This window comes from Homo sapiens, chromosome 20 (assembly GCF_000001405.40).
Source record: "Homo sapiens chromosome 20, GRCh38.p14 Primary Assembly".
Lineage (NCBI taxonomy): Eukaryota > Metazoa > Chordata > Mammalia > Primates > Hominidae > Homo > Homo sapiens.
Genome location: NC_000020.11, coordinates 63,343,223 through 63,371,201, shown reverse-complemented (window position 1 = coordinate 63,371,201; position 27,979 = coordinate 63,343,223). Strand labels below are relative to the sequence as shown.

At 63.8% G+C, this 27,979-nt stretch overlaps 1 protein-coding gene and 1 long non-coding RNA gene across 4 annotated transcripts, besides 3 other annotated features; one reads left to right on the top strand and one right to left on the bottom strand.

The window, feature by feature from the left end:
• Positions 1–24: 24 nt before the first annotated feature.
• LOC100130587 (uncharacterized) lies at positions 25–11,214 on the bottom strand. The gene is made up of 5 exons (NR_110634.1): positions 11,033–11,214; positions 9,261–9,384; positions 6,925–6,987; positions 2,142–4,719; positions 25–341 (listed from the first exon to the last, which is right to left on the bottom strand). It is a non-coding gene; the product is annotated as an uncharacterized LOC100130587 (long non-coding RNA).
• Positions 9,112–9,745: an enhancer, noted in NCBI's record as "H3K4me1 hESC enhancer chr20:61992809-61993442 (GRCh37/hg19 assembly coordinates)". NCBI's record gives its function as "activates a minimal SCP1, AML or CMV promoter by ChIP-STARR-seq in primed H9 embryonic stem cells {active_cell/tissue: H9 hESC(primed)}" and the evidence as "EXISTENCE:reporter gene assay evidence [ECO:0000049][PMID:30033119]".
• Positions 9,853–27,979, top strand: CHRNA4 (cholinergic receptor nicotinic alpha 4 subunit). 3 transcript variants are annotated; one of them, NR_046317.2, is made up of 6 exons: positions 9,853–10,112; positions 11,503–11,654; positions 14,787–14,831; positions 15,093–15,227; positions 20,175–21,549; positions 24,339–27,979. NR_046317.2 is itself a non-coding variant. In NM_001256573.2 (6 exons), exons 5-6 carry the CDS (start codon positions 20,320–20,322, stop codon positions 24,462–24,464), a joined length of 1,356 nt encoding a protein of 451 aa, NP_001243502.1. In that variant the 5' UTR covers positions 9,853–10,025; positions 11,503–11,654; positions 14,787–14,831; positions 15,118–15,245; positions 20,175–20,319; the 3' UTR covers positions 24,465–27,979. The 3 variants fall into 3 exon arrangements, 2 of the variants coding, with proteins under 2 accessions (NP_001243502.1, NP_000735.1); NM_001256573.2 differs by having other exon boundaries at positions 9,853–10,025; positions 15,118–15,245; NM_000744.7 differs by having other exon boundaries at positions 15,118–15,227.
• Positions 14,523–15,722: an enhancer, noted in NCBI's record as "P300/CBP strongly-dependent group 1 enhancer chr20:61986832-61988031 (GRCh37/hg19 assembly coordinates)". NCBI's record gives its function as "activates an origin of replication core promoter dependent on BRD2, BRD4, P300/CBP, MED14 and CDK7 cofactors, with strong dependence on P300/CBP, by STARR-seq in HCT116 cells {active_cell/tissue: HCT116}" and the evidence as "EXISTENCE:reporter gene assay evidence [ECO:0000049][PMID:35650434]".
• Positions 23,123–23,292: an enhancer, noted in NCBI's record as "experimental_60863 CRE fragment used in MPRA reporter constructs". NCBI's record gives its function as "activates a minimal promoter by MPRAs in K562 erythroleukemia cells, with activity observed for both the introgressed and non-introgressed 20:61979347 variant alleles {active_cell/tissue: K562}" and the evidence as "EXISTENCE:reporter gene assay evidence [ECO:0000049][PMID:34662402]".

Below are 27,979 nucleotides of genomic sequence, written 5' to 3'. Positions count from 1 at the left end.
GAAAGTCAAGTGAGTGCAGCCCATGAGGGGAAGCTCGTTGGTTTAATTCCAGATGGTTAGGAGGCTCAGAGACACCATCGGAGCCGTGAATATTCATGAGCCGGCAGCCTTGCCCAGGTAGCCGAGGCCTGGCTGGTGGCTGCGTTGGCTCCGCTCATTTTTGAAACGACACAGCACTTCTGGATTGGAGACGTGATGAGCTATTTGTAGACATGTCCTTGTTGATAAGGAAACGGCACTGGTTGACAGAACTCTCCACCCTCCGGCGCGGCTGGGCTCTTCTCCCGGGGGTGGGGCGGGGGCATTGGGGGCCCGGGTTTGGGGAATGGGGCATCAAGAAGCTGTGAGGGTAGAGAAGGGCCCTGGGCTGGGTCAGGCTGAAATGGGTCCGTCTCCCCAGCCCTTGGCTCTGTCATCATGGGAGTAACAGAATAATAATGTCACCCCATATGCTCGTGACAATCCATCTGGTATGACAAATGTTAGAACACGCTGGAAGCTGACAAGGGCTTCGTGCTGCAAACGACCCCTGCCCCCCAAAGCTATGCTCAGAAGCCCAAGGCAGGTGGGGCCTGAGCTGTCCCTCCTGCTCAGGGGGCAAAGTCCCGTGAGGGCAAGCTGGCACTCACCCACCCACCAAGGACCCAGGCCGGCTCACAGGGACCTGTCCAGCTGGGTCCCAATCGTTACACTCCTCCACCTCCTCCCAAAGGCACCTTCACCCAGGCCTGGCTCTGGGCTCCCTGTAGGGGGCTAAGTGTCCAGCGTCCCCTTCCTGTAAGGAAGGAGACCAGGCTGCCGGGAGGCTCGCTGTGGGCCCCCAGCTGGGGCCAGGGCATGAGGGGACTCTGGCGTGGGGCACACTTGTGGCGGTGCTGGCCCCACACGAGTCCAGGAGGGTGGGTGGGGCTGGGAATGAGGAGGGGTTGGCTGAGGTGTGGTCTTGGTCTTGACTTGAGTGCTGGGGAGGGCAGGGCTGAGGAGGGACAGGTGGGAGGAGGCACTGCGTGGAGGAAGAACTGAGCTCCTGGAGAACTGGGTGCACCGCTCAGCAGGCGGGCAGGGTCCCAGACTCGGCATTGACACTGCCCCGGGAGGGCAGGCCTGGCAGCAGGCGTTCAGGTGTCCTGCACTCGGCCACGTGTGACTGAGCGGTGCCCCGGTTTCCCGACATTACAAGAGGTGCCCGAGTTGCAGGCTGCAAGTTCCCCACCCGGCCTCAGAAGCCTGGGGTACCCGGTGCTGGGAGGCAGAGCCTGAGGATGCCCAAGGACCCCTAGCGGCTGTGGGGATGAAGCCCACCCTCTGCCCCCACTTTCAGAGGAATGTGCTGATGTGAAAATCCAATTGCCTGGCAAAGGAAACCTCTCCCTCTGAAATTAGCCCCTGGGCCTGGGGACCTGAGTCCCCATAACCACAGGCTGAAAAAGGCAGTGCTGTGGGGGTCCCACCCCCAGATCCAGGGATAACAACATGGAGAGGCTGAGGCTGCGGACGTGTGGGCCACCCCCCTCTGCACAGGACCCTCCCAGGCAGAAGAGCTGGGCAGGGGATGTTGGGGTAAATGAGAGAGGCCCTGGGTCCGGGTGGGCAGGGTGAGCAGAGGGTGAGGCCGCCTGTCAGCAGGTGACTGTCACACTCATGCTTGTGAAAACATGCTCCTGTGCACACACATGCCCCATGCACACGTGCACACACCCTGTTTGTGCATATACAAGCCCTGTGTACACACGCCCCATGCACACATACACACTGCACACACATCCTGTGCGCACATACACACGGCACATCTCATGAAGCATGTACCACCTGCACACACACACCCTGTATACATATACATCTCATGAAACAGTCCATGCACACACACACGTCTGTGCACACGTACCCTGTGCATGCATCTACAAGCCTGGTGCACCCACACCCTGCACACATACATCTCACACACACACACATCCTGCACACACACATCCCACGTACACACATCCCACAGACACATATCCCACGTACACGCATCCCACACACACACATCCCATGTACACACATCCCGTGTACACACAGGAAAATGATCCCTGCTTTGTGCCTCCAGGCCTGCAGCCATTCTGCTTTGGTGGAGAGGCCAGGACTGTCCAGGGCTTCCTCACCTGCTGCAAGACCTCAGCCAGTTCAGGCCCCAGCAAGACCCTCTCCACTTGCAGGAGCCAGGCGGCCATCTTGGTCCCTTGGCTCATTCTCAGCAGCTGGGAGACACCTGCTGACACAGTTCACTTTGGCTGAGGGGGAGGGAGACCCCACGTTGCTGCCTTTTCCAGCTGGTGTTTGTGGGACACGGGTCCCCAGGAATTGTTCCGGAAAGTCTGGCAGGGAGTGTCCAGCATGGCCCGTGTGGCTCCCCAGGGAATCTTTGATCTTAACAAGGTTTGGGTGGTCTCAGCAGGGTGGGGAGGAGAAGAAAGCCCACTCAGGGTGCTGGTCCAGGGGTCGCTTCTCTGACAGTTCCCCCCGCTGTTCCCTGGGACGGGGGCCTTCTGGAGTTTGCAGCACCCTCCCTCGGTTAGAGACAGCCCTGCTCTCAAAGCCTCAGAGCCGGGACAAGCAACCCAAATTTTATGGGTGGGGAGGCTGGGCTAAGATGGGTGGGAGGACTTGCCCAGGGTCCTGAACCTGGAGGGGGCAGAATCAGGCCTAGGCCTGGATCTCCTGACTCGAGGTCCCGTGGCTCACACATACCCCAGAAAGTGGGGCCCTGATATGCCCGGGGAGGCTGAGGTGGGCTCGGGGTACATGCCCTAGGGAGGAGGGGCAGCCAGAGGGCAGGGTGTGAGGGCCACAGTGTGGTGTGATGAAACCTACATGGGAGCCCAGGGCTGCCCCCAAGAGCTGGCCCAGGGCTCAGGCCCTCGCTGTGCATCAGAATCTCATGGGAGCTTCTACGGGCCCAGAGGGGCCAGGCTCCAGGGGTCTCGTGGACACTGGGGAAAGCCACATCCACAACTGCAGGGGTCTCCTCTCTACTGGGGGTCTGGCTGGGGAACACGGGAGAGGGCAAGGTGACCTGGAGGTGCAGGAGGAGGAAGAGAATTCCCAGGACTCGGCACTCTCCTTGGAGGGGTCACTGGATCCGCAGCAGGTCTTGACGGTCACCTGAGGTCCGTCCGCAGCTCTGGGGCAACGTGCAGAAGCGTCCGGAGCCTTCACCCACCCTCCCCACCCCTGACCCCAGGGAAGCTGTGGCCCTTGTTCCTCCCCGGCTGGAGCCGCCACTGTCCTTTCTGGATGCAGAGGTGGCCTTGGAAGGTGCAGGCTGGATGTCATTAGCAGGCGGCCAGCTGGCTGGGACAAAGGGCTTTTCTGTGTCAGTGACCTGTCGGGACGTAATTCCTCACAAAGAGCCGAGATGCGCTCCCTCTCCCGATGCCTGCCCAGAGCTCGCTGCTCAGGGCTGGGAGTGTCCTCTGGATTGGGAGGGGGGTGCTGGGGGGAGCCTAGGGCTAAACCCTGAGTGGGATTCCCGGCCCCTGATGTGGTGTGAACCGATGGCCCACGGCCCCCGGGGCTTGCCCCCTCCCCTGGCTGCACCACATCTGGCCTGGCCTCCGGGCCTGTCTGGACCCTGAAGCCACTGAACCGTGACCCTCAGATGTCAGCACAAGGGCTCCCCTGAGAGTGCAGGAGAACTCCTGGGTGGCTTCAGCGAGGACCCAGGAGCCTGCACGACCCCCTCTCCATCCTCACAACGGCCCAGTGACTCGGGGCCAGCACTGTCCCCACAGCTGAGGAAACCAAGGCCCAGAGAAAAAGATGATTTGCCTGAGGTCCCCTGGCAGCAGGGGCACAGCCAGAGTTCAAACCTTCAGCTTGCTGCCAACCTTCCCACTGCACGGTCTCTGGGCCATCCGCGAGACTTGGAGGCAGACCTGGGTGCCCGATCATTCTCATTCATCGCTGCAGTTTCACTAAGAGGCTGGAGACTTCCTCTGGAGCGTGCTTATAGTGAATTAACTACTCAGCAGAGAGGCAGGGAGTGTGGAGGGAGGGCCAGAAGCACTTAGAGCCACAAAACCGGAGCCAATGGGAGATCAGTAACTGTCTACAAAGAGCCTGGCAGGCGTCACAGGGCAGGACCCAGCCCCCAGGAAGCCCAGGTGTGGCGGAGCCCCTGAGAGCTTGAGGAGCCCCACTCAGAGGGCTCAGGGGAGAGGGGAGTTGCAGACAGCCCCGGCCCTGAGCCAGAGACACCCTGTGAGCCAGGACACCTGTGGCAGCTGCTGGAGCCGGTGGCAGACCCTCAGGCCTGAGCTGTGGACGTCAAGGACATCCCCACAGGAGGAAATCCACTGTGGCCCCAGGCTCTGACCTTGACCGTGACCCCAGGCCCCGACCTTGACCGGGACCCCAGGCCCCGACCTTGACCGCGACCCCAGGCCCCGACCTTGACTGTGGCCCCAGGTCCTGACCTTGGCTCGGCTTGGTCTCTGCTTCGTGTCTTTGGTCCAGAAGGTGGGGATGAGCTGCTGGCTTCTTGGTGGTGAGGGGCCTTGGCTTCCGGTGCTGCCATTCACTCCTCCCCAACAAGGAAGACCTTTGGCGATTTTCAGGTTGTGATGCGTGGAAGGAATCAGGCCTCTCAGCCAACCTTTCCGTCTCCCACTATCACCCCAGCGGCTGTGCCCTACATCTTTTCAGCAAAGGCAGCTTCAGCAGGGCCCGGGATGGAAGCAGCTGCAGGTGGGGAAAGAGGGGGTGTGAGGAGAACATGTTGCCCCTTTGGCAATCCGGGCCCGATTCCCATGTTTCTCTTACACTTAACGGTCTTCAAAACCTGTGCTGAACAAAACGGACAAAGACAGGGGCTCAAAGATCTCTTCTCTCAGCCCGAGGGAAAGCACTCTCTGTTCCCTGCAAGGCAGAGCACCAGGAGAGGGCAGGGAGCACCAGGAGAGGGCAGGGAGCACCAGGAGAGGGCAGGGAGCACTAGGAGAGGGCAGGGAGCACTAGGAGAGGGCAGGGAGCACCAGGAGAGGGCAGGGAGCACTAGGAGAGGGCAGGGAGCACCAGGAGAGGGCAGGGAGCTGGGAGCGCAGCCGAGGGCAGGGAGTTGAGAGCACAGCCGGGGGCAGGGAGCCAGGCCTGGGGATGCAGTGGGGAGCACCTGGGCTCTGGTGAGGCTCCAGGAGGCCACTCTCATCCATGGGGTGCTCATGTCTGTGAAGGGGCAGGTGACACTGCTCACTTGTGTGGCCTCTTCGTTTTCCCGCCTCAGAGGAACGGGGTCGGAGGGACGCAGGCCAGACTCAGGTGAGCAGCAAAGCATGGGGCTCAGGCCCCACAGAAGGGGTGCGAGTGACTTGGCCCCACAGAGGGGCTGAGCCCAGGCCCGACTCTCCTGATAGCCCCAGAAGGAACAGCAGCCGGGACTCCCGCAGGGCCGGGTGCACTCTGTCTCCAGGGGGGGCCCCATGGCAGGGCTGGCAGGGAGGGGTGCTTGGGGGCCACCAGGCGGTGAGCATGACCCCCGGGTCCACGGGAGGGCGAGGAGGCCTTCCCAGACTCACGGAGGCTACAGGACAGAGTTACTCTCCGCCCGTCCTGGTGGATGACAGGGAAGTCAATGTGGTGAGAACTGACAGCATTGAGTCTCCGGGGCCCCAGCGTTTCTGCTCCCACCTGTCCTGAACCCTCCTCAGTCCTCTCCTGGGCCCCGTGACTCCTTGCAGACATGGGTCCTCACTCCAGGGAGGGGTGAGGTGGCCGCTGGTGACAGGCCTGCTCTGGGCCAACCCTCCCTTAGCCCTTGGACAGGCATCCGTCCATCTGTCCACGTGGTCACTGTGGCCCAAGAGCCAGGCTTCGCCTGCCAAGCCCAGACCTGCCCTCAAGGACTGGCACTGTTGGCAGGTGGGGGACAGGGGAGGCCAGCAGAGAGCAGACGCATGACGTTTGGTGTGAAGAGTGCCAGGAAGACAGTCGGGCAGAGCAGGTGGGGGAGTGCTGCCCTTCCCCGGGCTTCCCCTTTCTCTCAGGGGTGCTGGGTGGGACAGAGTTTCCACAGAGCACGGTAGGGATGGGCGAGGCCCAGCTGCAGGAGGGGGAGGCCCTTGGGGGGGATGGGAGCACAGGCAGGGCCCCCTGTCCATGGGCTGAGCCCACAGCGCGTCCCAGCACTGGGACCTGGGGCTGGATGCCTCCTGCCTCCCACAGCCATCTCCTTGGGTGCGGCTCAGGCTCAGCTGGTGCCCCGCAATGCTCACCTTTACTACAAACCCTCGGTTACCATGGGCAGGTAGACAGCAGTGAGGGAGAGAGAAAAATCACCCCCAGAGCCGTGCTCCCAGGGGAGCTGCTTTGCACCGTAGCCAGTGGCAGCCTGGAGTTGGTGGTGACATGGGGAGGGTGGGGGGCAGGGGCTGGTGTCTGCAAGGGCCTGGTTGTGTCCCCCAGGGTGGGGGGCGGGGGCTGGTGTCTGCAAGGGCCTGGTAGTGTCCCCCAACCTACCCGCAAGCCCCCTAGGGCGGCTCAGGCCACAGAAAAGCTGTGCCCCCAAATCTGGTCTCACTGGACTTTGAATCCAGAGTTTTTGTTTCCTTTGAAGCAGCAATTTCAGGAGCAGCAGAGGCAAGGGCCAGGATGTGGAGTAGGAATCTAATTCAGCCTCGGTGATTACTGGGTTCCCACAACCAGCGCTCTCCAGCGGGCGCAGGTGGGAGGGAGGGGCTGTGCAAATTAATGAGTTAGACCTGATTAATCTTGCTGCATTAGCAAATCCAAAGGGAAAGCCAGTGAGGTTGGACAGATGTGTGTGAGCGTGTGCACTCGGCCGCAGGGCTGTGTCACCAGAGCCCCGGGCGTCCAGCTGACCCGGCCTGGCCCCTGGCTCCGGGAGAGACAGGCCTGCTGGCCCTGGCTGAGCTCTCAGAGTGAACTCACCTGCAGGAATCCACCAGGGAGAGCCGCCGGCTTGAGACCGCTTGACCCTGTGGAAGCCTGGGCCTGTTTTGTTAGAAAAGTGAGGAGGAGACAGAAAAGGCAAAGCTGGCTTAGTCTCAGAGCCTCTGCTAGGCTCCTGCCGAGGCCCACGGCCTCTTCCCCTGCACCAACGGGGGACAAATTCCAGCCCCTGCCCCAGGCCAGGACACCAGGTTCGGGCTGAGCCCTGGCTGCGGTGGGGAACCCTGACCCTCCACATCAGCCCTGGGCCAAGTGGCTCTAAGCTGACATTTCTCCGGGCACTCTGGGGCCGCCTGCATCAGAGCTGCCAGCAATGGCTGGTGGAAGCCACAGATTTGGAGGCCTCACCCCAGACTGAACAGTCTCTGAGGGTGGAGCTCCAGAATCTGGAGTTAAACAAACGCCCCCACGCACGGCTGAGTGGACACCCGTGGCCCTTCAGGGATTCACCCAGCTCACCACACGCCCCCCGCTCTGCTGTGACCCCAGATAATCTCCACAGGAGGCCTCGATTTTAACAAGTCCAGGGGGAAACCATGAGCCCAAGTGCAGGAGCAGGGGTGTCCTCTTCCCAAAGAGGTCTTTGGTTTGCCACGGGAGGGTGAGGCACCCACGAGGGTGTGGAACCCACGAGTGGACATCACTTTATCAGCAGAAGAGCCCCGTTTCGGCCAGCTGCCAAGTCAGAGAAACGATAACCCCGTGTCACAGGGGCTCCAGCAGGGACCGCAGCACGGCTGGCCTCTCCACTCACAAAAGAATGTGGATTTGGCTCTGCCAATGGCATTTGCTCTGCGACACCACAGGCAGGGGCTTCTCACCAAGGTGGGGCCTGAACCAAAGGGCAGAGGCCAGTCTATACCATGCGGGAACCGCTGGCCTTGCCACCTCTCTGTCCCCTTCCTAAGCAGAGAGCCTCATGGGCTGTGCCGCAGGGAGCGGGGGTGGGGTTCTGTGAGTGGGTCAGAGGTCAGAGGTCAGCAGGCTGCCCTCACGGGGCCTCGGGGGACTTTGCTCTTCTCCCCTCCCTGTGTTTACCAGCTGCTTGCTCAGCCCAAATATCCATCCAGCTTGGAACCTTCTAGTTCCTGGCACAGAACTGGCCCATGGAGGGGCTTCATGTAGGCCAGAAGGACCAGGGTCTTGCACTGCCCAGGGGCTTGGGAAGAGCAAGGAGAGGAGGAGGAGGAGAGGGAATCCTTCCTTGGGGGACTTCAGTCTGCCTAGGGAAACAGGCCCTTGAAACCATCGAGGGTTGGATCTGCAGGGTGGTCTGAGGGAGAGCCGTCAGCAGGGTGGGTGGCAGACACCCATGGCTCCAGGAAAGAGTTCAGGAAAGTAGACCTGGGATCTCCCAGGAGGCTGTCCCAGTGAGGGCACGTCAGCCCAAAACTACATCTGAGGCCAGCAGGAGGCCGGGGTGCAGACCCTAAAGCCAGATGGCCTGGGTTGGAATCCCAGTACTGACTGTGAGCTTCGGCAAGTCGCTCGGCCTCTCCGCACCTGTGTTATCTCTTTGGTAACGTAGGGACAATTGAAGAGGCCACCTCAAGGGGGCCGTGGAAGTGCAGGGGGTCCCTGCATCCAGCTTGCTTGGACCAGCATGTGGGAAGGCCACAGAAGCAGGGCAGGTGTTGTCGCTGGACCAGGCAATTCAGGAGGGCAGTGTCGTCGTTGGACCAGCCACTGTGCAGCGGCTGTGTGTTCTGAAAGCTCTAATTGTAGGCACTGCCCACAGAGCGGACAGACAGCTCTGGCCAGTGAGGAAGAGCTCCTGCCCGTCCCAAAGCAGGTGTATGAGGAGCCATGAGCTCAACCTGGAACCAGAGGTGGGCAGGGAGGGGGGAGAGGGGTGGGCAGGAGCAGTGGCTGCTCAGGGAAGCTGGGGGGAGGAGGAGAAGGAAGGTAGGGGGTAGGGACAGGGGAGATGGGAGAGCGATGGGAGGGGCAGGAGCTGTAGGGCTCCAGAGGCCTGTGCTGGAGAGGGGGTTGCTGCAGGGAACTCCTGACGGAGCCCCCTCGCCCGACCAGCAGCCTTGCAGCCTTGGAGGGAGGGGCGTGAATGCGGAGGGTCACCGGACCTCTCCAGCCCCTTCTGCTCTGCCTTCCATTACCGACGACGGAAATCTCCGTTTTCGGGGGCTGTGTCCCAGCTGCAGAGCCTGAGGCTGGGCCAGGGGCGCGGCTACAGGGATGGCCGGGTCTGATGTTTCTGCAGAGCCTCGCCCTCTCCTCCTGCACACGAGATTCAGCCGCACAAGGCGCCCCTCCTCCAACGCACCTGCTGCTCTGTGGGCGGCCACCTCGGCACCCACCTGAGGGCGGGGCCCCTCCCTGGGGACCGTGCGCCTGGGCTCCCCTCTGGACGCCTCTTGGGTCTCTGCGGAGGTACCAGGGAAGGCGGGGGCTGCAGGCGGACAGAGAGTCCTGAACGGCTCGCTGGGGAACAAGACCAGAGACGCGATTTTCAGGCTGCAGACACCGGCTGGCGCGATGGAGTAACCCAGATGTGCTAGGGGTGCCCCTCCTTGCGCCGGATCCCCTAGATGTGCCCCCCACCCCTGCAGGCAGGGAGCGGGCGCCCAGGCTGGAGATGTGGGGAGGGAGGTCAGACTGACTCCGGGACCCCCCAGTCGCACTCAGTGACCCCGGGGTCCCCGTCCCCGGCTCAGGCACGTCTCGAACCCCAGGAGAACAAGGAAACTTTACCCCCGCCCGGGGCCCAGCGCAGCCTCCCCGTCCCCCTGGGCGCGCGGTCCATCCCTGCTCATTCTCCCTGGCCCTTGCTCCCTCCTCCCTTTTCACTCTCCGTTCCCTCCCCCTCCCCTGCTCCCCCTCCTCCCCCCTCCCCTGCTCCCCCTCCCAGCCGGCTGAGGCGGGCAGGGCCGGGCGGGGCCGCGCCACGGAGCCCACAGCCCGGCGCTCCCTGCCGCGCCGCCGCCGCACCGCGCCCCACAGGAGAAGACGAACCGGGCCCGGCGGCCGAAGCGGCCCGCGAGGCGCGGGAGGCATGAAGTTGGGCGCGCACGGGCCTCGAAGCGGCGGGGAGCCGGGAGCCGCCCGCATCTAGAGCCCGCGAGGTGCGTGCGCCATGGAGCTAGGGGGCCCCGGAGCGCCGCGGCTGCTGCCGCCGCTGCTGCTGCTTCTGGGGACCGGCCTCCTGCGCGGTAAGTTACGGGGCGCGGGATGGGCCCCCTTTCGCCCGCGTTCGGATGGCCTGGGACCCCCAGAGCCAGAGGGAGGCAGGCTCCTGACTGCGGTCCCAAGCCGCGGGTGCGCGCGACTGGGCGACCGCGAGGCTCCCCATCCCCAGCCGCACAGGCTGCGCTCGCACCCGGGCTGAGCCAGGCGAGGAGGGAGTTGACCGCCGGCGAATGCGGAGGGCTGGGAAAGGGGCTTTCCGCGGGGTGTGGGGGGTTCCGCTGCTATTTCAGGGCTGGCCCCAAAAGCTCGAACTTGAGCAGAGGTGGGGCCACCTTCGCCCTTCCCCCATCCATCCAGCTAAATTTCCCTGAAGACCCCCATGCCTGCTTCCTCCGGTTTAGGGGATCAGAGGGGTGGCCTCTGCCCTTGGCGGCCGCCACCCACCTTTTCTGCAGGAAGGACAAGGTCGCGGGTGGGGACTCTGGGCTGGGAGTCAAGGCTCCCAGGGGTGTAGAACTGACCCCTCCCCCTCCCCGAGTCCTGTCTGCGCTCTCAGGCCAGCGGGACCCACCAGGGAGGTGGAGGTCTCCCCCTCCGCCCAGACCCGCCCCTTATGGCAGCGCCCAGGACAGGCGGGGAATGCCTCAGATCCTGGGGCCCCGGACCTGGAGCACAGATGGACCTAGGGCTGTGCTCCTCCAGAGCGACTCATCAGGGGCGTTCTGGGTCTGCCCAACAGCACGGGCAGGCTGGGGTGCGGAGGGGGCTGGCACCTCGTTGGGGTCTGCATCTGAAACACTCCTCGGGCATCAGGGGATTGATGAACCAGGGGAGGTTCCGTAGGAAGCGGGCGCTTGTGGGGGCCCGATCCTCCTTCCCCTTCCTCCCTCTTCCTGCCTGGGCTGGCCCCGCTGCCCTGTACTCCCTCCTTTGCTGCTGTTACCCCCGAGTGTCCTCTGACTCGCCAGCTGCTAGAGACACAGCCCTTCCCTGGAAGTCAGTGTGACAGGAGACCCAAAGCAGTCCTCGGCCCATCCGCCGCCTGGTTTTGTGGTGCGGTCAAGGTGCTGGGAAGGCCTCCGTGGGCTGAGGGGCCTGGGAAGCTTCCCCGAGGAAATCACAATTACACCCAGGGGTGGGAGAGAGCCGGAGGCCAAGAGAGGTCAGCGCACGCCACGCCCGGCACACACACACACACACACACACACACACACAGCACACGCCCGGCACACACACACACACAGAGCGCACGCCCGGCACACACACAGGTCCTGGGGTGGGAAGGGCTCATGTGAGGAGCTGAAAGGAAGTGGACGTGCTGGGCAGGGGGCTGGGGCAGCCTGGAGAGCTCCTGGACAGCTCCCGGCTCCTGTCCCGCCTGCACCTGAGCCACTGGCCTGCCTCTCCCCGCAGCCAGCAGCCATGTGGAGACCCGGGCCCACGCCGAGGAGCGGCTCCTGAAGAAACTCTTCTCCGGTTACAACAAGTGGTCCCGACCCGTGGCCAACATCTCGGACGTGGTCCTCGTCCGCTTCGGCCTGTCCATCGCTCAGCTCATTGACGTGGTAGGTGAGGGCGTGGCCATCGTGCACTGTGACTGAGGTCGCCCTGCAAGGAGCACAGGGGTCTGGGTGGGCAGAGGGGACACAGCCATCAACACTCCCCGTGGCTGTGAGTGTCCGGCCCGGGCTGGTACGTCAGAACGACAGCCACCAGCTCTGCCCCGCCTGAGCCCCAGCCAAGGGTTGATTCAGAGCGTCCCAGCCAGGCCCTGCCCTTTCCTCCCCCTTGACGTGGGAACACTCCAAGTGGCCAGGTTCTCAGTACAGAGCCCAGGCACCTTCGGAAGCAAAGAACAGCAAAGGCCTTGCTTGGGGGTGGCGGGGCACGCTGTGACCTCGGAGCAACAGGGACAACCGGCCGGGGCAGGGGCCGGGGCAGGAGCAGGCACTGTGGTGTCCCGGCAGCACCCCAACCTTAGCTGGCCCCAGAGGCCCCTCACCCACAGATCTGGAATGTGGGGTTTGGGGGAGTCTTGGGCGAAGTCTGTTTGTCTGAAGATATGTTCTTTCTGGTGGGGGGCCCAAGAAGGCTGCTGGGAGGAAGCCTACTGGTCCAGCCAGGCCCCTGCAGCGTGGGCCAGTGCACATGGAGCCCCAAGGCAGGATAGGAACCAGGAGGCTTCGAGGCTGAGAGAACTGAGCTGCGGGAGGCTCGGCCTTGTGCTCGGTTGAGATGCTTGGTTACCTACCCAGGCCTGAGCCAGACTGTCTGGGGGTCTCGGCGGCCCTGGAGGGGCCGGGTAAGGGGCAGCAGAGACATTTCCACGTTTCCCAGCCAGGCTCAGCCACTCCAAATGGGGTGAGACCATCCCTCAGGGTACCTGGCTGGGTGGGGGTGCATAGCCTGGGGGCTGCCACCATGGAGGAGGGCAGGTTGGGCAGGCCATGGTCTCTGGGAGCTGGCCCACTTGCGAGTGGGCAGCCAATGGCCAGCTGAGCTGCAGGGGCTCGTCTTCCACACTGAAGTCCGCCAGCTCCAGCCCTGCTGCCAAATCCCAGCTCGCTGGTCCAGGGAGGGCACCCCCACATGGGGAGGCATTTGTATGCTGTAGAGGCCCAGCCCACACCTTGCCAGGATGCCAAGCCTGGGTCTGCCGCTGAGGGAGGAGCCACCGGGTTGCGGGAGAATTTCCTCTCTTTGGGAGGCTGGTGCCGTGCGTGTTGGGTAACCCTGGGCCTGGGGCCTGTGAAACGGGGTGAGAGCTGCTTCACTATCCCAGGCTGAGTGGGCCACACCCCAGGGGCTTTTGGGAGGTGTGGGGAGCTGCAGCCACATTCCCGCGGACAGGCTGCTCAGTGGTGGCAGTTGCCCATGCAGGGCAGCGCATGGAGACTCCAGTCAGCCAGCCCCGTCCAGGGTTGGCCACCCAGACCTCCAGCCTCAGTGTCCTGGAGCTGCCCTTGAGTGGCTCCTGTGGAGTGTCCCTGGCGGAGGCCCAGCCAGAAGACAATGCGGGTTGCACAGGCTTGGCAAGCCTGCTGAGGTTTGCAAACACGGCTGCAAAGTGATAGCTGGCAGAGGCGGCCGCTGGCAGCTGCCCAAGGCTCTGGGTCTGCCACCCCCCACCTGGCTGCCTACCTGAGCTTCTCAGGGCTCAATCCATGGCTCCCTACGCCACCACAGAGTCCCCAGTTTGCCCAGGAGACATTGAGGCCTGGAGCACACCCAGAACCAAGACTCCCAGAGCTGCCCACCCCTCTCTCCACCCTGCAGCCGACTAAGGACTTACACGAACATGCACACGTGGGTGCTGACGCTCCTGGGTGCCCAAGGCCGAGGGCCACGTGTGCACGGAAGGGGCTGCCTGATGCTCCTGGGTGCTGGCCTAAGGCTGAGGACCACGTGTATGTGGAAGGGGCTGCCTTGTGTCTGGCCCACTCTGCCCGTCCCACCAGGGGCTGGGGATTCACCTGTGCCCCCTTTGCGGGCTCGGATACTTGTTATAGGTGCCATCACCAGGGTCTGTCCTGGAGGGGAGGGCTTGTGAGCTGCACGTGTGAGCTCAGGCCCCAGGACTGGCTGCAGAGGAGGGTCTGGAAGACCCAGTGCTTTTCCAACCAGCCCAGGCCAGTGCTGAGTGGTGGTGAAATGTGCAGTGTTGACCTGCCCTCCAGCTTCAAGGGCGACTGAGAATGACGGCTGCAAGGGGGTAGGGCACGACACTGGGCAGGAGGGCCAGGCCTGGCCACGTGAAGCTGGTTCTGAGGACCCTGGAGCTTCCTCAGACACACGGGATGAGGTCCTGAGGGGATGAGGTCCTGTGGGGAGATATGGCCCTGCACGGAGACATGGTCTGTGGGGACGTGGTCTGTGGGACGTGGTCCTGTGGGGACATGGTCAGTGGAGATGTGGTCCTGTGGGTTGTGGTCCTGTGGGAATGTGGTCCTGTGGAGACGTGGTCCTGTGGGGACACGGTCCGTGGAGACGTGGTCCTGTGGGAATGTGGTCCTGTGGGGATGTGGTTCTGTGGGGACGTGGTCCGTGGAGATGTGGTCCTGTGGGTTGTGGTCCTGTGGGGACGTGGTTCTGTGGGGATGTGGTCCATGGAGATGTGGTCGGTGGGGACGTGGTCCTGTGGGGATGTGGAAGGAGGTGGGTGGGGTGGGTCGGAAGGGGCTGGGGTGAGTGGCCCAGCTGCACACAGTGACCTTGAGTGACAGGTCCCACCTGCTCAGGTCATGAGGCACAGTCCTGGAGGGGCCACCCTGGCCAGCAGTGGAACCCACTTATGTGCCAGGGGCAGCTTTGCTGGCTGTGTGTGCCCACATGGGGGCCTTGTCTGCAGAGGGGCTGCCCCCAAGGGCCGGGAGGGAGCAAGGCAGGTGGGCAGAAGGAGGCTCCCCATGCCCGCCACACCTGTCCTTAGCTGGGGAAGCCTGTGAGGCCGCCGACTCCTCTCCAGTTTCCTGCTGGAGATGTTTGTGGCCTTGTCCCCACATCCCTAGGTCCCCTCAGAGTCCCCATCCTGGGCTCGGCTGCCTCCAGGGACGGGGCACTCACCCCCTCCACAGGTCGCCCGTCCACCATATCTTGCCCTGGCCGTGTCCTTGTGCCAGTGGCTGTAGATGAGGAAACCTAGGGCCAGAGAAAGACACCAAGGGGTCACTGGCCCCCTTCCTCTCTCGGTGCCCTAGGATGAGAAGAACCAGATGATGACCACGAACGTATGGGTGAAGCAGGTGAGTGGGAGGGCACTGCCCTGCCCCACCCCTGCCCTCCCCCACACCCCTCACCCTGCTGCCCTGTCCTGGCCCTGCCCCACCCTGGCCCTGCCCCACCCCTGCCCTCCCTCACACCCCTCACCCTGCTGCCCCACCCTGGCCCTGTCCCGCCCCTGCCCTCCCTCACACCCCTCACCCTGCTGCCCTGCCCTGGCCCTGCCCCTGCCCCACCCTGGCCCTGTCCCGCCCCTGCCCTCCCCCACACCCCTCACCCTGCAGCCTCCCCCCGCCCCACCTCATCCAGGAGTGGCACGACTACAAGCTGCGCTGGGACCCAGCTGACTATGAGAATGTCACCTCCATCCGCATCCCCTCCGAGCTCATCTGGCGGCCGGACATCGTCCTCTACAACAAGTGAGTCCTCTACAACAAGTGAGTCCTCTACAGGGCCTTGGTGGGCAGGAGTGGCCAGGGCCTGCCCCTGCCCAGACAGGGAGCTCCACCAAGGCCCAGCCTGGCCCAGCGGGGCCTATGCCAGCCCCATGCATGCCAGCCCAGGCCCAGGAAGGAAGAAGCAGGAGCAATGGAGAAATTGGTGTGGGTTGAGGAGGGAAGGGTCCCCCCAGGCCAGCAAAGAGGCTGAGGGCATCCCTGGGTCTCAGCACTGGAGCGTCAGAGCCGGAGGGGCCTGAGAGTGGCTATGGCACCTGGACACAGTGTCCCTGCCTGGACCAGTCCTGAGGCCTGGGGGCTGGCTCCTGACCCGCGACGTCTTTGCCCCCACCCTTGACAGCTGCAGGAGAGCCCTTTTGGGCAGGAGTGCTTTTCGCCATCAGACCCCATCCTGGCCTTTCTGGGAGAATAGTGTGGACTGCAGGGTGCCCTGGAGAGGGGTGAGGAAGCCCCAGATGGTTCTCATGCCACTAGGGCCTCTGCTTTCTCTGCATACTCACGCTCTGCCCAGGACATGTCACGCCAGGTCCCCAGCAAACAAACAAAGCCTCGGGCTGGGCCAAGCCCATGTCAGGCTCCTAGGAGGCCAAGATGAAGTCTGGTCATGGAAACGGGTTTTCTGTGCCTGGAAGCCAGGGCAGCGTTGCCACGGATTGGCCGTGGCAGATGGTGGCCTCCGGAGGCTGCTGTCCTCTAACTTGTCCTTCCTGCAGATCTGTGCCGAGGGCCCTGCGCCCGGCAGCCAGCGCTCTCTGAGCTGAGTCCTCCAGGGATGATCTCTGGCCACAGGCTCAGGGTCTGGGTGTGGCAGGGTCACAGCTCCCACAAACAAAGCAAATGGAAGCTCTTCCTCCTCTCCCGTCCCAGCCATCTGCCCACAGCCCTTTCCAGGCCCCAGGGCACCCGCCTGACCTACAAACCCTGCTGTATGATTAAGAACGATTGGGCTCCTCTTCCAACTCAATTGATTCCAGTAATGGCAGCGGGAAGGGCCTCCGGCAGTGGGAGGGCCGGACGCTTTTCCAGAGTGCATTGGGGAGGTGGTCAGTGGTGAGTGGGCAGCGGGTGGTCTTCCCTTAGGACAGACTCCCTGCCCCCTGCAAGCCACCCAGCCACCTAGCTCCCCGCCACCAGGACCATGCACCGAATCCGCCTGTGTGACTCGCATGGACACATTTCAGGGAGAAGTGGAAACGCCCAGGATGGGCCGGGCAGAGAAGCCGCTCTGGGTGCCTGTGCACAGCCCTCCAGGAATGCAGCCCCCAGGAACGAAGCCTCTGAGGACCACAGCCCCCACTGTGACCTCAAACCCCCAGGACCACAGCCCCCCGAGTACTGCAGCCCCCCCCACTTCCACAGCCTCACCAGGACCACGGCCCTCCAAAGACTGCAGCCCCCACCAGGTTCACAGCTCCCCCAGGACCACAGTTCCTCTAGGACCACAGCCCCCTAGGACCACAGGCCCCCAGGACCACATTCCCTGCCAGGACCACAGTCCTCCCAGGACTTCATCCCACCCTAGGGCTACAGTGCCTCCTGCAGAACTGCAGCCCCCACAAGGATCACAGTTCTTGCCTGACCACAGCCCCCTAGGACTACAACACCCCTAGGACAGCAGCTCCCCCCCAGGACCACAGCCCCCTAGGACCACAGCCCCCCAGGACTACAGCCCCCCAGGACCACAGCCCCATTTAGGACCACAGCCCCCTAGGACCACAGCCCCCCAGGACCACAGCCCCCCCAGGACCACAGCCCCCCAGGACCACAGGCCCCCAGGACCACATTCCCTGCCAGGACCACAGTCCTCCCAGGACTTCATCCCACCCTAGGGCTACAGTGCCTCCTGCAGAACTGCAGCCCCCACAAGGATCACAGTTCTTGCCTGACCACAGCCCCCTAGGACTACAACACCCCTAGGACCGCAGCCCCCCCGCCAGGACCACAGCCCCCCAGGACCACAGACCTCCCAGGACCGCAGCCCCCCCGAGGGTCACAGCCCCCTAGGACCACAGCCCCCCAGGACCACAGCCCCCCAGGACCACAGCCCGCTAGGACCACAGTCCCCCCAGAACCACAGCCCCCCCGAGGGTCACAGCCCCCTAGAACCACAGCCCCTCCAGGACCACAGCCCCCTCTAGGACCATAGCCCCCTAGGACCGCAGCCCCCTAGGACTACAGCCCCCCAGGACCACAGCCTCCTAGGACCACAGCCCCCCCAGGACCGCAGCCCCCCCAGGACCACAGCCTCCTAGGACTGCAGCCCTCCCAGGACCACAGCCCCCTAGGACTACAGCCCCTCCAGGACCACAGCCCCCTCTAGGACCACAGCCCCCTAGGACTGCAGTCCCCCCAGGACCGCAGCCCCCCCAGGACCACAGCCCCTCCAGGACCATGGCCCCCTCTAGGACCACAGCCCCCCAGGACCGCAGCCCCCCCTAGGACCACAGCCCCCCCAGGACCACAGCCCCCCTAGGACCACAGCCCCCTAGGACCACAGCTCAGGAGAGCAGGGATTGCTGCCACCCCATGTTCTCCTGTGTCTCCTCCTCACCATGGCCTGTGGGATGTAGTGGGGTGACCCCAGTTTTCTCTTTGGGGCTGGGATTGTCACCGAGGCTCTCTCCGGACAGGACCCAGGGTTCCTGGAGTGGCCGCTGGTGCTGGGTCTGCTCCCGCTGAGGAGGCCTGTTTCTGGGGCAGCAGGTGGCTGTGGCTGGTGGCCGGCCAGGCTGCAGGGTGGGAGGCCTCGGCCCTTCTCTGGGATTTGGCCACCCCCAGTTGGGGGCCCTGCTGTCCACTTGGGGCAGGTGCCCAGAAATCCCTGACCTGGACTGGGGTCGGGGTGGAGGGGACAGAGGGTCTCACGCCAGCCTGTGGGCCCTGGAGCAGGAACCTGGACCTGCTGGACTGGGCGGCTCCTCAGACCCTGTCTGCTCCCAGGGTGCAGCTTTATGGTGCGAGTCCAGAGCCGGCTCACGGCCGGGTGGTTCAGCCCAAACGGGGTTCTCCTCAAAGGCTCCCCAGAGGGCGGCTGGAGCCAGGGGTGGGCGGGGCAGGGAGCAGCAGTGATGCAGCCCAGGGGTGCTGTGGGACCTGGGGGCTGGGGGACCTGGCCCTGACCTTGTCCCGTTTCCTGTGGCGCGGGCAGAGGACCCTGGGGGAGGGGGGCCCTGCCCAGAGTGGCGCAGACCTGCACTGTTCCCTGAGCATGGCCCTGGCGTTCCCTGTAGAGTGTGTGCTGAACAGAGTAGTCACCCGCTTGCCATATGAGAATCTTTTAATTTGTGCCTCAGAAGGTGGAGGGCGTTGGTTTTTGGAGAGATGGGCTGGGGAGAGGGAGCAAACTTGAGCCTGATTCCACCCAGACTGACTTGGTGGTAAAGCCCCGCCCCCCGCTGGAGGGACGCTCGGGAGCCAGGCTGTGCTGGGCCGGAGCCGCATTGAGATGCAGCTGGTGGCTCTTGCTGGGTCTCCCTCCCTCTGCAGCTGAGCGGCAGCCCAGCCGGCGGTGTTGGCTCAGGACCAGTTCAGGGGGGCAGAGGCTCAGCACCGACTGAGACCGTGGGGGGCCAGGTCTCCACGACCTGGAGGGCAGAGCTCCAGCAGTGGCGGCTCCACAAAGGGAGGGTCCCTGAGGGTTGGGAGGGAGGTTGAGGTGCAGGTCCAGCCCTGGGACTCGGGGGCAGGCACAGAGGAAGCTCAGGGAACAGTCGCCAGCTCTGCCCAAGTACCTGGAGAGGCCCTGGCCTTTGAGCAGGCTCTCAGGGAATGAGGCAGAGGAGGGATGGGCAGGGGTCCAGGCAGCTTGGCAGAGGTGGAGCAGGAGGTGTGTGGCTGGGCAGCCGCTCCCCCCGACGCGTCGTGCCCCAGCGCCCTCCACAGAGCTGAGCCTGGCCCCATGCCTGCCAACGCTGGGGATTTAATGGGGCCTCAGGCTTCCCATTGGTGGGGACTTCTGTGGGTGGGGGTGGAGGGTCGGCTGCTGCCCCCGTGAGCCTGGCTGCCTCAGCCCTGAATGTGCTCCTGCAGTGCGTCCCACCCAGCCAGCCGCTGTCTATGGAACCAGGGGCTGGGGCTGGGAGCTCTGCCTACCGGGAGGAGTTCAAGGGACATCAGCCCCTCGCTCCATTGCTCTGTTGCCCACCTGGGCCTGTGGACAGAACACCCACGTCCCCCAAGGCAAAAGAGAGTCCAGAGCCAGTGGCTCAGACGTGGCCCTGGAACTGGGCAGTGCGTATGCAGCCCCACTGCATTGGCCCTGGGTGGCCAGAACACCTGTCCTTGCCTCTGTGGCCCCTGGTGTCCTCATGCTCACACACTGGGAGGTGGCCTCCAAGTCCTTGGGGTTAACGGCAGAAGCTGGGTGAGGAATTCCCATGGTGGCCCGGGGTGCTGCTTGGAGGGGCGGGGACATAGGGATGCCGTGTGTCCCAGGAGGTGACGCTGGGAGACTAGCCCCATCCATGCGCCACTCATGGATAAGGGTAATCACCAGCAGCAGTGATTATGTGTGTCAGGCACTCGTAGGTCCCTTCCCGTTCTCTGAACCACGTGCTACGCCCAGCTCAGGGATGATAAACTGAGGTGCACGAGTAGGTGAGAAGACGAACAGTGTACCCGGGCAAGGCCGCCAGCCCTTTTGTGCTCCTGTGACGTGAGAATGCCTCTGTGTGTGGACGTGGACGTGGACGTGGACGTGGGTGTGGATGTGGGCGTGGACGTGGACGTGGGTGTGGATGTGGGCGTGGGACATGGATGTGGGCGTGGACGTGGATGTGGGCGTGGACGTGGATGTGGGCGTGGATGTGGGTGTGGGTGTGGACGTGGGCATGGGTGTGGCAGTGGGCGTGGGTGTGGACGTGGGCATGGATGTGGGGGTCTCACACCCTTCGCTCTCTTCCTGCCCAGTGCTGACGGGGACTTCGCGGTCACCCACCTGACCAAGGCCCACCTGTTCCATGACGGGCGGGTGCAGTGGACTCCCCCGGCCATTTACAAGAGCTCCTGCAGCATCGACGTCACCTTCTTCCCCTTCGACCAGCAGAACTGCACCATGAAATTCGGCTCCTGGACCTACGACAAGGCCAAGATCGACCTGGTGAACATGCACAGCCGCGTGGACCAGCTGGACTTCTGGGAGAGTGGCGAGTGGGTCATCGTGGATGCCGTGGGCACCTACAACACCAGGAAGTACGAGTGCTGTGCCGAGATCTACCCGGACATCACCTATGCCTTCGTCATCCGGCGGCTGCCGCTCTTCTACACCATCAACCTCATCATCCCCTGCCTGCTCATCTCCTGCCTCACCGTGCTGGTCTTCTACCTGCCCTCCGAGTGTGGCGAGAAGATCACGCTGTGCATCTCCGTGCTGCTGTCGCTCACCGTCTTCCTGCTGCTCATCACCGAGATCATCCCGTCCACCTCACTGGTCATCCCACTCATCGGCGAGTACCTGCTGTTCACCATGATCTTCGTCACCCTGTCCATCGTCATCACGGTCTTCGTGCTCAACGTGCACCACCGCTCGCCACGCACGCACACCATGCCCACCTGGGTACGCAGGGTCTTCCTGGACATCGTGCCACGCCTGCTCCTCATGAAGCGGCCGTCCGTGGTCAAGGACAATTGCCGGCGGCTCATCGAGTCCATGCATAAGATGGCCAGTGCCCCGCGCTTCTGGCCCGAGCCAGAAGGGGAGCCCCCTGCCACGAGCGGCACCCAGAGCCTGCACCCGCCCTCACCGTCCTTCTGTGTCCCCCTGGATGTGCCGGCTGAGCCTGGGCCTTCCTGCAAGTCACCCTCCGACCAGCTCCCTCCTCAGCAGCCCCTGGAAGCTGAGAAAGCCAGCCCCCACCCCTCGCCTGGACCCTGCCGCCCGCCCCACGGCACCCAGGCACCAGGGCTGGCCAAAGCCAGGTCCCTCAGCGTCCAGCACATGTCCAGCCCTGGCGAAGCGGTGGAAGGCGGCGTCCGGTGCCGGTCTCGGAGCATCCAGTACTGTGTTCCCCGAGACGATGCCGCCCCCGAGGCAGATGGCCAGGCTGCCGGCGCCCTGGCCTCTCGCAACACCCACTCGGCTGAGCTCCCACCCCCAGACCAGCCCTCTCCGTGCAAATGCACATGCAAGAAGGAGCCCTCTTCGGTGTCCCCGAGCGCCACGGTCAAGACCCGCAGCACCAAAGCGCCGCCCCCGCACCTGCCCCTGTCGCCGGCCCTGACCCGGGCGGTGGAGGGCGTCCAGTACATTGCAGACCACCTGAAGGCCGAAGACACAGACTTCTCGGTAAGTCCCGCCCATGGCTGTGTTGGGCGCCTCTGACCCAGACGGAACCGGCGGACGCCCTTTCTTCCTGGTGTGTAATCCAGGAGCCGGGCCCAGGCCTCAGGCTGCTTCGCTTTGGGGTGCAGGGCGTGGCCCCTGCTGCAGCAGCCTCTTCCCAAGCCTGCTATGTGGCCGCAGGTCCCAGGCTGAGCGGGGCAGGGGGCCCCGAGTGGCTGGCACAGGGTGGATCCCGGTGCCGTCTCTGGCTTTGGGACACAGTGGGCCTCGGCGGACGGCACGGTGAGGGGCCACAGGCAGCGTCCTTCCAGCACAGAACGGGGGCGCTCTGGGAACTCCTGCCCAGCAATGGCCAAGTCCCCAGAACGCAACGAGGCACTGCCAAGGCCCTTTCTCCAGAGTGCGCCTGTGCCTGCCCCGCGGGCCTCCCCGGGGCCCCTCCGTATCTGGGGCCTGGATGTAGGGGGCTCAGAGAAGATGGGATGGGATGGGCTGGTGGCAGGAGGACGGAGCTGGGACAGGGACACAGCTCCAAGACCATCAGCCCCACACGGCCAAGCTGGGGACAGGTGGGAGAGCCAGGGGCTGGGGGCAGAACGCTGGTCCCACGGCTAAGGCCCCCCGGGGCCCGGGGCCAGCCCACCTACCCTCACCCTCCAGCGCCAGGCACTGGCCGCACAGAGGCCCCAGGAGCCACAGTTTCTGCTAAGTGGCAGCCATGTCCGTGTTACCCGTGGCTGTGCAGTCTCCTACCCATTCCATGCAGGAGAGGCTGGGGCTGAGCCAGCTTTGCCTGACCCCAGCACCAGGTAGCTTCCCTGTTTCCTTCTGCAGACATTTACTGCCTGTCACATGGGGGGAGGCACAGGGGCCAGGGTCCACGGACAGGATAATGGGGCGGGACGGGTGGGGCACACAGGTGGCCGGGGGTCTCGGCCTCGGCTGTGCAGCCCATGACGTCCACAGCGGCAATTCGGCATCTGTCCTGTCCATCCACCTGCTGTCGCCGGCACCTCCTGGCTCTTGTCCCGGTGCCAGGGCCTGGTGCCCTCAGTGGGCCACCTCCGTCTGAAGGGGCCACCTCTGCCAGGACCCCAGAGCGCCATCCTCGATGGTTTATTCGGACGCATCTGGTGCCTGCCCCCACTAGCTGAGCGAGCCCCAAAGCGAGGGGCCCGTGCTCCATACCCATGAAAAGTGAGGGAGTTGCTCGCCCCACACAGCCACCCCACTGAATCCCAAGAAGCTGCAAAACCTCCTGCAGGTTCCAGAACATTCTGGGGTCACGAGAGCAGCCTGGAGAAGCATCGGGATCCTGCTTTGCTGCCAGCTCTTGAAGCGAGAGGCAGCTGTGCCCGGGCTGTGCCACCGTGGGGTCAGATGCATTTAGGTGTTTGATCAAAGCGGTCCTGAAGCTGGCAGTGGGTCTGAGCTCGGCGGTCGCGCGCCCTGGGCCCCTCCAGCAGCCTTCTCGGGCCGATTGCTGCCGCTGCCTGACCTGGTTCTGGGCTTGTGGGGAGCAGAGCTGACTTCACAGCAGCCACCTCGGGGACAAAGGGAAGGCTTTGGTCTGCGGCTGCGTTTCATCTTCAGGGTGGATGGAACGCGGCACACAGAACCCAGGGAACTAAAGGCACATAGGAAAGGGCGAGAGGGCGGCCGCGTCCCCGCCCCCAGAGCCGAGGCCTGGGCAGGACTTTATTTATAAGTGACCCCGTTTGCCTTCAGGCTTCCCGTAGATAAATGCGGCCGTTTTGGTTCAGTTTAACACCATCAGGAGACCCGGGATTGCTATAAACAATCAGAGCAGGAGGCGGCACTGTCCCCACAGTGTGCCCAGGCCCCCGCGGCACATCCCTCCCATCCCTCAGCATCCACAGGCCTGGGACCCAGGACACCCTCACGGCCGGGCCCAGAGGCAGCTCATCAGCTTGGGGGTTGTCTCAGGTCCTACACGGCAGAGCCAGAGACGCGGGACGGGGGAGCCGGGGCGAGGGCAGTGGCCAGCGGCATGAGTGCCTTGGGCTGCACACAGCGGCTGTCTCGAGAGTGGCTTCCCGACTCCAGGCCTGACCAGGCCACTGCCTCTGCCCTCCCTAGGCCTCTGCTCCTGGGGGTCACCCGGGGGAGGTCCGCCCTGCATCAGCCCCAGGAGTGTGGGGTTAGAAGCCGGACCTGGAGCCGGAACCCGCTGTCCCCGTTCAGATATGTAACCGCAGCCGCCCCTGAAGGCCTCAGTGTGAAAACGAGACAGGCCAGGGGAGGCTCGAGTGAGAGACTGCAGATGGCGGCAGCTCTGCGGGCTCCATGTGTGCTGCTTTCGTCCGCCCTCTGTGCGCCCACCGGGCCACATTTGCCCATCTGCAAAACGGGGAGGGGGATGGGCCCTCCCAGCGCTGGTGAGCTGAGAGCAGACCGCTCACGGGGTGCCTGAGCCCCCCTCCCCCGTGCCCCCTTCCCGGAGCACAGGCCGCCTGCTGAGAAGTGGGGGCACACAGGGCATAGTGCAGAGCTTGTCTCCACAAGGGGGTCTGCCCAGCCAGAATTCCCAGGGTTGCAAGGTCCTCCTGCCCCATACCATGGTGATGATGCCCCCCGCAGAGCACTGGCTGTCCCGTGCACCCCAATTCCTCCCCTCGGTGCAGCTGTGTGCCGCGTGCACCAGCAGCAATGGCTGCCTCGGGTGGAAGGTGGGAGGTGGAGAAGCTGTTGCCGGCGGCGCCGGGGTCCTGAGGGCTGTCCCCGCTGGCGGCGGCCGGGCCGTGCTGGAGTGACGGCGTCTGTGCTTGCAGGTGAAGGAGGACTGGAAGTACGTGGCCATGGTCATCGACCGCATCTTCCTCTGGATGTTCATCATCGTCTGCCTGCTGGGGACGGTGGGCCTCTTCCTGCCGCCCTGGCTGGCTGGCATGATCTAGGAAGGGACCGGGAGCCTGCGTGGCCTGGGGCTGCCGTGCACGGGGCCAGCATCCATGCGGCCGGCCTGGGGCCGGGCTGGCTTCTCCCTGGACTCTGTGGGGCCACACGTTTGCCAAATTTTCCTTCCTGTTCTGTGTCTGCTGTAAGACGGCCTTGGACGGGGACACGGCCTCTGGGGAGACCGAGTGTGGAGCTGCTTCCAGTTGGACTGTGGCCTCAGGAGGCAGTGGCTTGGAGCAGAGGTGGGGGTCGGCGCCTTCTACCTGCAGGACTCGGGCTAAGTCCAGTTCAAGAGTCTCCTGAGCTCCCCTGCAGATGGAACTCACTCCTCCCAGTCTCTCAGCAGATCTGGTGATGGTCCCGACCGCCCCAAGGGGCCCTTGAAGGGAGTTCACGCCCCTTCAGCCCCAAGCGCCCCGTCTTCTGGAGGCCCGGCCGCCTCTCCCACCCACCGTGTCCTGCGCCTGTGTGGGCTTCAACTTCTCCCCCAGGGTCCTTGAGCCTCTCGGGCCCCATGAGGGTGAGCCAGCAGCGCTCCAATCTGCTTCGCTAGGAGAGGGTCCAGGCAGGGATTGTGTTTGGTTGTGTTTTGGGTAAGTTAGTGAGAACTCAAGTCTTGTGCCTAAGGAGCCTTGGAGAACAGAGTTTTGTGGAGCTGGTTCCGCGTGGGGAGAATCGGGAGGCCCACGCGGGACCAGCTCTCCCCTGCGCAGGCCCTCCGCGGGGGACAGGAACACCCAGCCCCAGCGAGTCTGGAGACCAGGACTCTGCCTTCCAGGCGTAGGGCCAGGGCTCTGGCAGGTGGCCAGGGCTCCACGGGGGCCTAGTGGCTTCAGCCCCTGGGGTACTTCTGTGTTGTGATTCCCCGGAGCTGGGAAGGTCCCGAATGGAGTCCAGACCTGGGCCCTGGTTCCCCCAGGACCCTGAGGGTTTCCACCTTGGCGCGCAGCCCGGGAGATCCGCCCTGGGCTCTGGGTTCGGGAAGAAGGACTTCCTGCTACAGTAGCTGTGGGGAGCTGGTGGGGGCATCCTTGAGGACCTCCACCTGGGAGATGCTGGGACCCTCGGGGCAGGAAGTCCCTGAGAAGCCTCATGGGAGTCAGGGAGCCCTGGGGTTTCCACACAGGCCCATGCCCTCCGTCCTGGCAGGGCAGGCAGAGCTCAGCACAGCCTCACCCCTGCAGGCGGTATCCAGAGGTGAGGGAGGCCTGAAATGTTTCCAGGCATGACCCTGGAGCCCGGCAGTGCACCCCCTAAAGATGGCGCACCCGGCAGCCCCCCAGTGTCCCCAGGGGCACACTTCCCCTTGGGATGGGCACAGGCTGCCCCACCCCTCCATGATTCCAAGGGCCCAGAGGGGCGGGGCCAGGATGGCGTGTCCCCTGCCTGTGAGTGACATCGGTTCAGGAGGAGACAGTCAGGAAGCCTCCTGCTGAGTGGTCCACATTCTGCTGCCCCCAGACCCCATCCAGCCAGGGGTGGGGATGGGGTTGGGCTCTGCGTCCCACTGAGTCTCATTCCTCTGTCCCCGAGCCGAGCTCTCCTGGGCCAGGGTCTCGTCAGGAGGTGCCTGAGAGCAGAATGAATAATTGAGGTTAGGAACCCGGCATGCCGAGTGCCCCAGAAATGCCGCTGTGTCCCCGCGGGCAGTGACGTGAGTGGGGAGGAGACTCAGGCCCACATTGCCCACACCTGCCTCTGAACTGCTGCTGGTCACCCCCACCCCCGGGTGCCTGTGACCGGGGTCCTGAGGCTGGGGCTTTTGTGCCAGGAGTGGGTGGGACACAGAGACCCCCGTGCCAAATCCTGGGCATCCCCAGCCCCCTGGCCCCTCCCACATCCCCCGTGTATTCAGGACCCCATCTGCTGAGCTCTGACCTGCCCCCGCTCTGCCATCAGCCCCTGCTGCTCCTCGGCCAGAGCTCCCAGGACGCAGGGAGACCCTGGGAGAGTGAGGTCATCCCGGGGCCATGGAAGCTGGCAGGAGACACTGGTCTCAGAGGAGGGATAGAGACGCAGATTTCAGATGTAAGAAGCCCGATCCACATTGCATAAGTGGACCCAGCTGCCAGATGTGTGGGCAGCTGCAGGGAGTGGCCCGGGGTGCTGGGCCCAGCTGTGGTTGTTCTTTTCTGGGTCAGGAGTGACTGCGGAGTGGCTGGGACGCTCCTGCCGGGGGACCCTCCTGCCGGGGGTGGCCGCTTGCCTGGGGGAAGACCCCTTTCCCTTTCTTTTTTTTTTTGAGGCTCAAAAAAAAAATCCAAATAAAGCACCATATTCCCACCACGCCAAATTAACCTTGACAACAATGTTGGCGTATTTGCGTCCAGTGCTGTTTTTATTAATTAAGGTAAAATTTACATATGGTGAGATGCATGCTCTTCAGTGGAGACCCAGCCCCTAGAAGGTCCCTCCAGCCCTTCCTGTCGGCGTCCCTCCCCATCTGTGGCTCTGACTTAAGCACCGTGGATTGACCTCTCCGGCTCACGACCTTCGAGGAGTCAGAATCCTGCAGTTGGAGCCTTTGATGTCTGGCTTCTTCATCCTATGACTTAGAGCTTCATCCGTGCTGTTGTGTGTGTCCGTAGCTCCTTGCTGTCTGTTCCTTCGTTTTTAATTGTGAGCAGTGTTCTTCTGTCTGAATAAACTAAGACGCAGTTTGTCCATCACCTGTTAGTGGACTTTGCTTGCAGCTGTCGGTGATTAGGAATGGAGGTGCCGGTGTGTGCATGGCACTCTATCCGTTATGCATGTTTATTTTCTGCATCTGTTAATGTTTTAACATCTTTCAGACCCAGGACTGCTCCTCCTAGGGCCAGTTAGTTCCCGGGGGTGGACAGCTTGCCTAGAACCCACCTTGCCAGGGCTGTGACCCCCGACCCCCTATCAAAGTCTCACACTAAGCCAACGTTTCCCCGCCCTGTGCCAGGCACCAGGCAGCGGGAGACACTGCTGCAGCTCGAAGCCTGCCGGGGCGCCGGCCCCTCTGCGGCTGCTTGCGCCATCCTGCCCCCTCCTTCCCAGGGGAGGCCCCAGTGAAGGCCCTGGCCAGGGCTTCCCAGCCCCTTCTGCCTCCGGACCGGCCTGGGTGCTTCCCGTGTGGCCCGGCCTGGGGCGACGTGGCCCTCCTCTCAGGAAGCGTGGTAATCTCTCAATGGCTGGCCTCCGGAGTTGTCACTCAGGCTCCCTTGTAAGTTAAGGCCGGGCCCAGGACACTCTAGGGCACGCAGCTGCTGTGGGACTGCTGGGTTAGGTGTCCCCTGGAGCAGAGGCGGCTTCGGATTTCTAAAGTGGCTGAGTCCTTTCACCTTGCACCAGAAATGCTGGATCAGGCGCAGCACACACAGCACCTGGGGATGCAAGCCCGGCCAGCCCCATGGACCAAGCCCCGCCGACCGTGTGGCCCGCCGAGCCCAGGTGCGGCCGCCCGGCTTCTGCAGGCAATGTCTGCCAAGCCCTGGAATGTGCTCCCAGTGTGTGCACAGACTTCAATGAATAAAACGCACCGTCACCA

Excerpts from the sequence above, each read along its gene's own strand:
- CHRNA4 (NM_000744.7), top strand. The coding sequence starts at position 10,037 with ATGGAGCTAGGGGGCCCCGGAGCGCCGCGGCTGCTGCCGCCGCTGCTG. Across the intron at positions 10,113-11,502 it reads GGGGACCGGCCTCCTGCGCG|CCAGCAGCCATGTGGAGACC; the intron begins GTAAGTTACGGG and ends CTCTCCCCGCAG. Across the intron at positions 15,228-20,174 it reads GACATCGTCCTCTACAACAA|TGCTGACGGGGACTTCGCGG; the intron begins GTGAGTCCTCTA and ends CTTCCTGCCCAG.